Genomic DNA, 12656 nt, shown 5'->3' with positions numbered 1-12656 from the left:
GGGTAAAGCATATAGGTATTCCACCGATCTGATTCACAAACACCTCCAAATTAGGAATGTTGTTGTATTTGTTATAAAAAGACAAGTTTTGTAACTAAGCAACATTTTCTAAAGAAACTATTATGATTAGGGTCTGAAGTCCCTGAACTATCTAAGTGTAACATATTTGAAGTATAGAATACATAATTTTAGCCTGAGTTTGTAGCCTGGGAAATAAGGATCTCAATTTTCAAACAGGGGAAACAGGAGGAGGAGAAAAAGAAAAGTTGAGAGGGAAAAGAAAGGAGATAAAGAATGGGGTGGAGAAGAAATGCATTGCTTATTTCTAAATGTCATATTTACCCTCTTTTCTAACCCCTCAGTCCATTTTCTCAAATATCTAAGTAACTCACCTGCTCTAAGCAGCACTATCCAAGGCCCACTCCAAGTTTTCCTCCTAAATCTTAAGGTCATGCAGCTTTAAAAGATAAGGCCTACTAATTCTTAAAATCAGTGACTTTAAAACGATTGCAGTGACTTTAAAATGATTGGAAGTTTAAGAAAATACAATAAAACAGTTTTTTTGGACAGAAGAAAATATCCAGATATTAAGTTGGTGCAGCCTATAAGGCATTTATTTATTCATTCACTTCATTTATTCAATAAACATCTAAGTGCTTCTTGCCTTGAAAGACATTACTTAATGTTAGTTTCGTCTAACATATGCCTTCTCTTTTCAGTGTCTTGCCTTCTCTTACTGTGAACTTCACAGACTCTCTTAAAATGTCTCAGTTTTAATGTTTAGTTTTTTGCTTGTTTCCATCACGGCCCATATGTCAGTAAAAGCAGAGGCTCCTTCTGGTAGAAGTAGATGAGGTGCAGCGATTTGTACAGAGGGTCAGGAAGAACCTCATCTGTTACCCTCCGTTAATGTATACTCCTGACAAATTGACTAGGTCAGAAGACTTACATAAAAATTTAATTTACTGGTTAATCAAGTGGACAAAAGAGCATGCTGGATATTTAAAACCCTGAAAAAAAAGCACACTAATTACATCAGAGAACTCTCTATCAAAGAACTAATCATTCCTAAACCATATTGAGTTCATTGTGCCCCAATATTTTTGTCACCCAAGAGACAGAGACCTCTGCTTCTCATGAGTCCTGTATTTGAAAGAGAAATTTTCTGTGAAATAAATGACATTTATTAACTAATGATGACTTTATCACTTATTAATCAAAGACATCTACAACTGCTAATCAGAATTTCTGATAGGGTATTTGCAATCAGATTCTGCATAGCCAAAATTACAAGAAATTACACTAGTCCCTGATACAGGTTTTTCTTACAAGAAACAATTGTATTGATTGTAATAGTCTAATATTAGAGGTGTATTTATTCAAAAAATTCAAATTACACTCAATTTCAAAAAATTAGAGAGATAAAGTCATACTTTATATTAAATGTTTATATTATTTCAAGCATTAAATTCACAAAATCACCATGAAAATATATTTTTCCAGTTATGTGGAGTAAGAATGAACAAAAATCATTTAAAAAACAGATATGGCTTAGCAAATGTTCTTCCAGGCTTTCTAATTATGTGTTATTCTTTCTTTATAGTAGTGCAGAAAATTCAAGTATGGTAAAAAATACCTCATCAGTTGCTTGATTGGAAGAACTAATTTAGACTGAACAGGAATGTGCTTGCAGAAAAGGAGAAATGACCTTGTATAGCATGATACGTACCTACTTATTTACTTTGAAGAGTTTCTAAGTAATTTTCAATTATAATATGATCAATCCTACATAAATTTCTGTTTCTGTTTTATCCGATCATATTCATTCACAGAACCTATATTATTGAGGATGATGAAATTTTACAAACTTTCAAAATGTAATAATGTATTACACAATGTTTAATAACATGAAAATGAGCAACTTCATGCATTAACATATATTCATTCCACGAATAACTTTAAGTGTCTACCAGGTGTCAGACACTGAGAAAATTATACCAACTAAAACAGACACATCTCCATCCTACTAGAGCTTAGAGAATTGGCTTCATTACAAAAGCTGGCATTGACATTTTAAGTGTTGTGTTTCAGACACTGTCTACACAATTAAATGTACTAACTATAATTAATTTACTTTTTCAGTAAATTACTCAATAACACTGGCTGACTCTACCTTAAAATTATTTAGATCCTATCGTCTGTGGCAACATGGGTGAATTTGAAAGACACTATGTTACAGGAAGTAAACCAGGCACAGAAATACAAACATTGCATGATCTCATTTATATGTGGAATCTAAAAGAGTGAGTTCATAGAAATAGAGAGAACAGTGTTTATTGGAGACTCAGGAGGATAGGGATGATGGAAGATTGGGAGATGTTGGTCAATGGGTACAAATTTAGACAGACAGGAAGAATAGGTTCTGCTGTTCTATAACACAGGAGGGTGACTATGCAAATACCAATGTAGTGTATATTTCAAGATAGCTAGAAGAGGTTTTGAATGTTGTCACCACAAAGAAATAATAAGTGTTTAAAGTGATGGATGTGGTGATTACCCCGATTTGATTATTATGCAATGTATACATCCATTGAAACATCATACTGTATATAAATATGAGCAATTATTATGTGCCAATTATAAATGTAAACAATTATTAATAAAAAGCATTTAAGAAGATGCCGTAATTTAACAAAAAATATTTTTTTAAAAAAGAGCAGTAAATATTTTTAATTTAGAGATATAATACTTATACATAAATAGCAGCAACTGAACCAAATTTCTACAATCAGGACTTAAAATTAAGTTGTTGAATTTTTTAATAAAGAGTTAATGATCAAATAGAATGACATTAAGAAAGTTTCATAAGAACTTCAAGGCCAAAAATGTATTGCTTTTTCTGCTTACCTGTCAATCAGCTTGGAATTCATAGAGTCCTATCATTCACTACCTCTTGCTGGAACTGTTTACATAAACCAGTCTATTTATTTAAATATTTTTCTTCTGAATTGCAATATTTTTATCTTTAATTTTATCTTGAGCTACTAGCATTTTATCTTCCTTTAAAAATTAAATTCTGTTTCCTGCTAAGATATATTTGTAAAATTTTTTAAATCTTTAAGAGTAATGACAAAAATTCTTATCCTAAAATGTAAGATTGCTAACAGTCTGACCACAACCTAACTTTCTCTTGATCTCAGAATTTCCCCTCCTCAGAGATCATGTAGAAGACTAGAACAGCCTCGTCTCAAAGACAGAGGATCTTTGTTCTATTTCTGATTGTGCCACTGAATTTTTGAATGAACTTTGTCCTCCTCCTCCTCCCACTCCTGTCCTTTCTTTCTTCTTCATCCTTTTATCACCATTACCATTTCAAATGAAATCTATTATTTAACTCTTCACAGTGAAGAGGTATTAACTGAGTGTTTTGGGATGTTTGCTAAGAAATTAGAGTGTAGAGACCTGCTTACTTTTCTGTCCACTTCCTTCCTGGTCCTCTCTGACATATCTCCAGGAAAATCTTAGGGCCTGCTGAAGAAAACTCTAGGACTAGACGAATCTCTTCTATCCCATCTAGCAGAATTTCTCCACTTCTTTTCTAAAACAAGTTTATTAATGATTCTGCTAGTTTCCTACTTCCTTTATTAAATCTATCTCAGAAGCTGTAATCCAAAGATATTTTTCTTTATTAAATCAACACACTCTCTGTTATATTTACTATGCAGCATTTTTCAAAGTGTCTTTAGGAAGCTGTTAGATATTGATAGTTGTTAGGAAAAAATTAAATGAGAGAGAAATAAAGAGAGACAGAGAAAGTGTGACCAATCTATGTCAAATTAGTATGGGAACAACTGGTATGAACAAGATTTACCTGGGATCTTTACTTCAGAAACTCTCAAATATTTTATATTGTGTTTAAGATTCTATATGATGAAGATTTATATGGACTTCTTTATGTACCCCATCATGTCTCATTGTTCATTTGGCTGCTTTTCATGATCTGAATGCCCTGGACACAGTCTTCTTGATAGGATGCCATTCTTTTTTCAGTAACAAAGTGGTGAATGTGAGACAAGCTATGCTTCCTTTAAATACTTTCACCCTTAATTATCCACAAATTTTATATATGTGTGTGTGGCAACCTAAGGAAAATTCTGGGAGTTAGAGGTAACTTAGCACATCACAGCAAGGTTAGCAATCTAAAATATAGTATTAGAAATCCCTGTTCTTACAGCTTGTCAATGCTGCTCATCTCTGGGAATTATTTAAATGGCTTCTATAAGAGATTAAAGCACATTTTCAAAAATTCCTTCCACTAAAAGGTGGAGTCTTATTTACCTCTCCTGGAATCTGGGTTGGCCTTATTTGCCTACAGCTTGCTTTATCTACAGCAAAATGAAACTATTCTAGTTATGGGCTAGCCTTTTATAAGAGGCCTGGATCCTTCCACCTTTTATCTTTGAGTCCTAGGACCCCATGTAAGAACTCCAACTACTGTGATGCGAGGATTCCCTCATCACACAGAGTGAGATAACACAGAGGTGCTCAATTGGCAACTCCGGCTAAGCAATGGGCCAACAGGGAGTGTCCATGGTCAGCCCAGCCCATCCTTCAGATGACTTCAGTCCCAGCTGCTATCTGTCTACAAACACTTGAGCGATCCCGGATGAAACTACCTAGCTAAAAGCAGGCATACCACAAAACCATAAGAGATAATGAGTTGTGGTTTCAAGCCACTCAGTTATGGGATGGCTTGTTTAACACCAATAATATATAAATGGAATCGATAAATGGATAAATGGAATAGCTACTAATACTTCTCTCCACTCTAATAGCACCTCACTATTATATAATTATACATTAACATTAACCAATGCCTTTTATAACTCCTGCATTTTTATTCCCATTTTTACAGTAGGTATATTTTTGTACAATCACGTAGCTCAGAGGAAGGAATAGCCATCATGTATGGGGTAGTTCTTTCAAATAAGGAATTCAAGAAATCCAAACATGTAGGAGGCAAAGTAGAGCAATCACAGACTCTATAAATTAAAGTAAGAGCTACAAAGCTCATACACATGGATGTTCTCACAAGGGCTGCTATTGCATTTGTAGTCTCACATGCATAGATTACAGTTGCCCTCAATCATGTCCATTTTAAAAACAAAGGATCTTAACAATACTTCCAGAATGTGAAAAACATTAAAAGTGAAATATAAAAATGGTTCTCTTGGTACAAAGTATTAAGTGCATTTCAGAAGTCAGCATTATTTCTAACACAAAATTTTTACCAGAGTTTTTATAAGCCGATAAATGAATAATAGTATAAAATATACAAAACTATAGAATACTACACATGGATTAAAGTTGTAGATCCTTAACACTTTAGGAGAATGAGAGGTATTATATATAAACTAAATCATAAAAGAATAATTGATTTCAGGTAGAAATCTTCTAGTCTATTATCAGCATTAGATGAAATAGTAAATTTATTTTTTCTTACGTTGTATAAAGTATAGGGGTTTTTAACACATGTTTTATGAATCATTATGAAGTCTTTGGATAGGCATTATACATAAATATCTAAAATTCTGTGCTTATTTGTATGTGTGCATTATCTGTGTAGATGACCCATGTCTTTCATCAGATTTTCAGAGAAAAGAAGCCTAGATGGTTTCAAATTATAACTAGAATTTAATTAAAAAGAATTCACCACAGAGTAAAAGCTACCTGAAAGAACACCAGAATAAAATAGACACGATATTAGAATAGATTATGGAACACTTTTGTTTCTATGTAAACCTTATCTCTCAATGTTATAGAAGCCTCTCCTCTGGGACTGACCATACCACCCTGGTTTATTGCACTACTATAATTTTAGTTCCCAGCCTTCTGGCAGCATATAGTATTTATTGCCTATCTAGCTCGGGTTTGTGTAATAGATGAGACTCAGGAGGGAAAGTTTCATCTTTTCTATTATCTTTTGTAAACTGCAATGTTGATCACTTGTAAGACAGTAATAATTCAGTTAAAGTGTCATAAATATATATGTGACATAGAATGGTCTACATGGTGCATTCAGACAGAAATAGCTTAGATGTACGATGCTTATGTTGACAGTTTGAAGTTAGAGACTTTGGATCTAGAGATCCTAATAAGCAAGGAATGAATAACCACTAACTATTACTATTTTCACTCTACACACCCTGACGGATCCTTCGGTGACACAGAATAACAACTTCCACCAAAGTTAGAGAAAATATTGACAAATGAAGGTAAGGGCAATTAAATCCAGGTGTATTTGGGCGCTCTGCCATGTTGATAGGAAAAATACCTGAGACACTAATTGGGTATACACTGTAACTAACCCAGAGGAGGAAGTTGACTTTGTTCATCAGCACATGCACATCATTCTAGAGAATATGCTAATACATTGAGGGGAAGAAGAAAATAATTGATAACACTGGCCCTCTAGTCTCTTATGAATGTATATTTAGGAAGTGGAAAAGGGATTTTTGTCTTTTACTTATTTATTCAATTTATTTGCTCTGACACCAAGGATATCAATATGGGGGGACCTGAAGGCATTGTTCACGGAAGACAACATAAAGGATACTCTGTTATTCTGGAAGAAAAAATGGATTAAAATTATCATAAAAATTTAACTGTAAAGAACTTTCTGACTAAAATAATTTTTTTACTAAAACTGTGGCTAAGTGATTATAAACGTTGTTACTGAAAGTGTATTCCTGAAATGAAGACTGATATCCATTTGTTGGGAATTATATAGACATTATTATATACACATTCAGCAATCAACAGACATTTCCTTGGACTCTCTATTAATCCTGGGAGTGTGTGTGTTATGTGTGTGTCCTCAGATATATACTCAACTATATTTAACTTCTCCATAAAGAACATGAACACATTAAGTAATTAATGCTTGTCAGTTACTTTGAGTGAATGCCATTTGAAGCAAGTGCTATATCTGTGTTAAGTAACAATAATAATCAAGATAATGGGCTGTCCAATTATGTAGGTTATTTGCTAGCAGTTTTAAAACACACTGTATGTTTGCTAGGATGTAGATATTTATTTATTTTTTCTTAAGAAGGAAGACAAGCATTCATCAATGTAAAAGAAAATTTTTTTTAATATGAGAGGCATGCTGATTTATGTAATGATTCTAAAATTGTCTAATACCTACAGCACAGTCAATCAAGCTGTAGTCAATACGCTAAAGAGTAAGAGAAGGGCCAGTTCCTTGGCATTCCTTCTATTGGTTATTTCAGGATTGGAAAAACTTGCAAACCATTCTCATGCAGGAAAGCCGTCTTATTTCCCAGGTCACTTGGTCTTTCACAGACTTTTTACATAATTATTATCAGATTGCTGTAACTATAAAATTCATTTTAGTCCATTTATTCAACATACTTCTGAAATACTATTGAAATAAAGGAGGCTGGGTGCAGTGGCTCATGTCTAAAATCCCAGCAATTTGTGAGGCTGAGGTGGGCAGATCACCTGAGGTTAGCAGTTCCAGACCAGCCTGCCAACATGGTGAAACCCCGTCACTACTAAAAATAAAAAAATTAGCTGGGTATGGTGATGGGCGCCTGTAATCCCAGTTACCCAGCTACTCGCGAGGCTGAGGCAGGAGCATCGCTTGAACTGAGGAGACGGAGATTTCAGTGAGCTGAGATTGTGCCACTGCACTCCAGCGTGGGTGACAGAATGAAACTCCATCTCAAAAAAAAAAGAAAAGAAAAAAAAAAGTAAGGAGTCAAAGCAACAGGCGGCCAGAAATCCCTTTGCTCCCCTGTGGAAGACGTCAGTGAAACTGGGAAGAGGGAAGGCAGGTGACAGTAATTTCCTTTTCAAATGGACTTTCTCAAATAAGTAAACTAATGACATTTGGTAAGCATATTCCTTATCTCTAAAAGGCCCGTAGGAAGATTTCTGTGGCTAAGAATTACCTAGAATGAATAAAACCCGGGGTCAATTACATAAGGCTCTCTGAAGAGTGTCACCTGAACTATACAACTCTGGTCTATAAAGTACCTCTTTAAGATTCCTCATAGTATAAGAAATCCCATAAACCTCACCTGCAGACCTCATCTACTCTTGGCCAAAAGTGCATGTCCAATGTGGGAAGCAAGACCTAGTCAGCTGTCCTTGACATCCCAGATCTCTGCTTCATGTGCACTTTTCGATGGCTTATAATTTTGACATTATTTAATAAAGCCTGATATTGGGTAAGATCCTTGACTTAACAATTCCATGTAATTGTTATATTTTTCTTTCCAATTTTCTACTGCAAGAGCCTCTGTCAAACTATTTGTATATAAGTTGTCTTTTATCTCCCATTTTAATAAGCATATGTAACTGTTATGTTCATACTTTTTGCTTTCTACTGTCTTTTAAATAAATTAAATGAAATTTAAAAAAAAAGAAAAAAACCTCTGGGAGATAAATAATTTGAGACCAACATATTTTTCTCTAAAAACTCCTTTGTAAAAACTTCTTTGTTCTAGACAAGAGCCAAGGCCTAAAACCCTGAGCAAGATGCATGTCAGATAAACACTACTGGTGGTATTCACAACGCTAGCAAAACAAGGTGGATGTTTCCACACTGTTCCCCATAACCCAGGCCTTTAACAATACTTATCAGCTCAGACTCTCCTGTTTTCATTTTATATTCCTCACTCTATGAATCATAGCTCTGATTATACAACTTGCATCTTAAAATCTTTAGTGGTGGCTGGGCGTGGTGGCTCACGCCTGTAATCCCAGCACTTTGGGAGGCCGAGGTGGGTGGATCACCTGAGGTCAGGAGTTCGAGACCAGCCTGGCCAGCACCCCGTCTCTACTAAAAATATAAAAACTAGCTGGGTGTGGTGGTGAGCACCTGTAATCCCAGCTACTCAGGAGGCTGAGGCAGGAGAATTGCTTGAAACTAGGAGACAGAGGTTGCAGTGAGCTGACACGGTGCCACTGCACTCCAGCCTCAGTGACAGAGTGAGACTCTGTCTCTTTAGTGGCCCAACACTGCTTACAGTGTAAAGTCTAACCTTCTGATTACAGCCACAAGATGTTCAACACCATGATCTCAGTTATCTGGAAAAGAGGATGTTACAAGCTTTTCTATATAATTTACCTCTGTTGCACCAAACTATTTAGTGTTCTCAGAACACTATGCTTCAATCCAGGGCAGTTTCTCAATTTTGGTGTTCCTGTGGCTCCTTAATGCTATATATCACAACCACTGTCATAGTGTTTAGTTATAAAGACTGTGCACTGCACAAGGACACCATATTACCTTATAAACATCATAGTAAATGTCTTGTTCTAACAAAATGATCAGAATAGACCATATCCCTTTGTCTCTATTTAGAAATGTCAAACCATCTTGATTAACAAGCTTATCGAAATCATATGAAGCAGAAGAGACACTTTTTCTGAAAATAAATGGTGGAGGGCAGAGTGAAAAAAAATTGTAGATGCTTTTGGGCTGGGTGCAGTGGCTCATGCCTATAATCCTAGCATTTTGGGAGGCCAAACTGAGCACATCTCTTGAGGCCAGGAGTTCAAGGCCAGCCTGGCCAACATGGCGAAAACCGTCTCTATTAAAAATACAAAAATTATCCGGGCGTGGTGATGAGTGCCTGTAGTCCCAGCTACTCGGGAGGCTGAGGCAGGAGAATTGCTTGAACCCAGGAGGCAGAGGTTGGAGTGAGCTGAGATTGTACCACTGCACTCCAGCCTGGGCAACACAGAGAGACTCTGTCTTAAAAAAAAAAAAAAAAAAAAAGCAGATGCTTTCAGTAATTCTATCCTTTCGCTTCCTGGTAGTCATAAATGCACTTTCTGCAATTCATAAAATTTCAAAAATTTCAGCCCAGCAATATGCAAGTGTCCCATTCATAAGCAAAATCTCACTTATCCTTTCCTCCAGAGGGTGACTAGCTGAATCTTAGTTAATACATTCTTCTCTAAGTCAAGGTTTTCTGGGCAGTCTGCAGACTGGTCTGTTTAGATATGACTTCAAGGTGCAAAAGGCCATAGCTAAATAACATATTTAACCACCTCCGCACACTGAATATACATTAATGAAGTTGGAACAGGAAAATTATCACTAAAACTCCGATTTAGAAAGGGGAAGAAGGAGAAACAATGTATAAGGCATCTATCATACTTCCGAGACACGGTTTGCAAGGATTCCCTGCCAAGGAAGTGAAATGTTTCTTGGTCAACCAAAGTGAATTCTACTGATTCTCTTCACTGGAAAATTCATCCTTCCATTGCTCTTCCTACTGTTACGTGGAAGAGAAATTGAGCAGCTACGTTGCTTTACCAGCTCACTTCCTGTGTGGGTAGTTTGAAGTTTCAAATCTTAGGAGTAAAGAATCATATGAATCCTTTCTTACTTACCTAGCTTGGGATTTTTCCAGTAATAAAGTACTTCTTAAAACCACAGTAGGATGCTGGCAAATTTGCAGTCTCTCAACTCTCCAACCAAGTAACTAAAGATAGCAATCTTGTTATGTTAGAGCTGATTAATCTGGATCCTGCATCCTTGTGTTTTAGCTACAGACTTTGGTGTTCTTCCCCACTTTGGTCTTTAATAGCCTCCTTCTAGGCCTCTGCTTCCAAATTAATGGGCTTAGATAATGACGTAAGTATATTTTGCATTTTGCTACAAGACTAAATCATAGTGGGTGACTAAAGAGTGAGTGGCAATTCATTTGGTCAGGAAGATAACATAGTATAGGAAGCTTTCACACAGAGCTAGGGAAACAAGCTTCCTCTGTACCCAATGGAATCTATGATTGTGGTTCTTGCTGCTCACCCTGCCAGAGGCAAAACATCTAGCTAGTGTAGCCATAGAGAAGAATGAAATCATGTCCTCTGAAGCATCATAGCCGGAACTGAGGGCCATTATCCTAAGTCAAATGACTCAGAAACAGAAAATCAAAACAGCACATTCTCACCTACAATTGGGAGCTATACAATGGGTACACATGAATATAAAAATAGAAATAATAGACATTTGGGACTTCAAAATGGGGGAAGTTGGAGGGGGTGAGGGCTGAAAAATTACCTATTACGTACAATGTTCACTATTTGAGTGACTGGGTCACTAGAAGCCTAACTCTCGCCATTACAAAATCTATTCATGTAACAAACATGCACAAGTATCCTCTGAATATAAAATAAAACAACAAAGAAAAAGAGAGAGAGAGAAGAGAGAAAGAAAGAGGGAAATAAAGAAGAAAGAAGGAAAGAAAGATGGAAAGAGAGAGAAAGAAAGAGGGAAAGAAGAAAGAGAGAAAGAAAGAAAGAAAGAAAAAGAAATGGAGGAAGGGAAAGAATAACTTAAAAAATTCACCTAGTACGACCACCCACTATGCACGATTATCTAATTCTCATCATGGATTGCTGGCCATAGCAAACTGTACCGTTCTCTTTCCTGTCTTCTTTTAGTTAGGATGGTTGAAACCAAAGGTTAGATCTTCTTTCCTCTAATACCATATTATAAGATTTAAGCATTAGAAAACACATCCTGCTTCCAACTACTACTCAATCAAGTATCTGTTTTTTAAACACAATAGTCATTGGTCTAATCAACACTTTGCTCCTTACAAAAAGATTGTCAAGAATTCCCAATTTGAGGGAATTCTTTCCCTCTCACCCACCCTATCTTGAATCAATTGATTCCATGTTTTGGGTCTTCCAATTCCAAACAATCCCTCTTACTACCAATTATTCTGTTTTCCAGCATACTTTATTCTCAGATGTTAAATAGCCAACTCAAGCCAATTTTAGCAAATATAGCAAATTCATTAACTCATATAACTAAAAAGATAAAGAAAGGAATCTGGCTTCAGGCCCACTAGTCACACTGACCCAGAGGCTGCCTGTGTCCCTCTGGCTCAGCTCTGCTTTCACATTCATTCTCTCTCCACAACTTGGCTTTGCCCTCCTTTGTGCAGGCTTTATTTTCAGGCGGTCGCTCTTATTGCAGGATAATGAAAATTCTGCATTGTATTTAGGTTTACACATTGCCAGAAGCATGTTTTTAACAAACTATTATAGTAGGGGAGAGACAGTTGAACCCGATTATCAAAAACAGTTTTTTGTTTTTTTTTTTTTGTTTTGTTTTTACAGGGCTGGTAACAATGAACCTACAGTGAGGCAGAGAAGAAGAAAAGGAAAATAACCTGTGGGTTCTTTTACATCTTAACCCAGTAACAACCCAAGCTTTTTCAGGATTGTCAATAATTCTCACAACATTCATTTTATGACATGATTTTGAATATGTTGAAACTTACTCTAACATAATTTCAGGATGTACCTGTTTAAAAATAAAAGGAAAGTCTCCAGGGCACATCTGAGTGTTCTTTCTTCTCCACATTTCATGATGTTTGGGCAGAAACGTCAGCAACAAGCAGCACTAAAAGGAAACGAATAAGAAAAAGTGAGATTATGTAATAAAATGCCATATGTCAAAAATTCACAAGGCAAAAAAAGAGACACAAATTTAGCACATTAGAGTGGTTGTCTTTTTAGAGGGAAGTGGAAGGACTAAGAGAAGATAAAAGGGGATCTAGCCATTCACGAAGGGGTTGACTTTACAAAGAGGAAAATAACCCCCT

The 12656-nt window shown here is 35.9% G+C and overlaps 1 long non-coding RNA gene across 1 annotated transcript in view; it reads right to left on the bottom strand.

Moving 5' to 3' along the window:
• LINC01037 (long intergenic non-protein coding RNA 1037) overlaps window positions 1-12454 on the bottom strand; it is a 33595-nt gene extending 21141 nt beyond the window's left edge. The window contains exon 1 of the long non-coding RNA NR_132374.1: window positions 12356-12454. This is a non-coding gene — a long non-coding RNA (long intergenic non-protein coding RNA 1037). The remainder of the gene's footprint in view (window positions 1-12355) is intronic.
• Between the last annotated feature and the right edge of the window lie 202 nt (window positions 12455-12656).

This window comes from Homo sapiens, chromosome 1 (genome assembly GCF_000001405.40).
Source record: "Homo sapiens chromosome 1, GRCh38.p14 Primary Assembly".
Lineage (NCBI taxonomy): Eukaryota > Metazoa > Chordata > Mammalia > Primates > Hominidae > Homo > Homo sapiens.
Note: the sequence above shows the minus strand (reverse complement) of the source record. Positions and strands in the feature narration are given on the sequence as shown.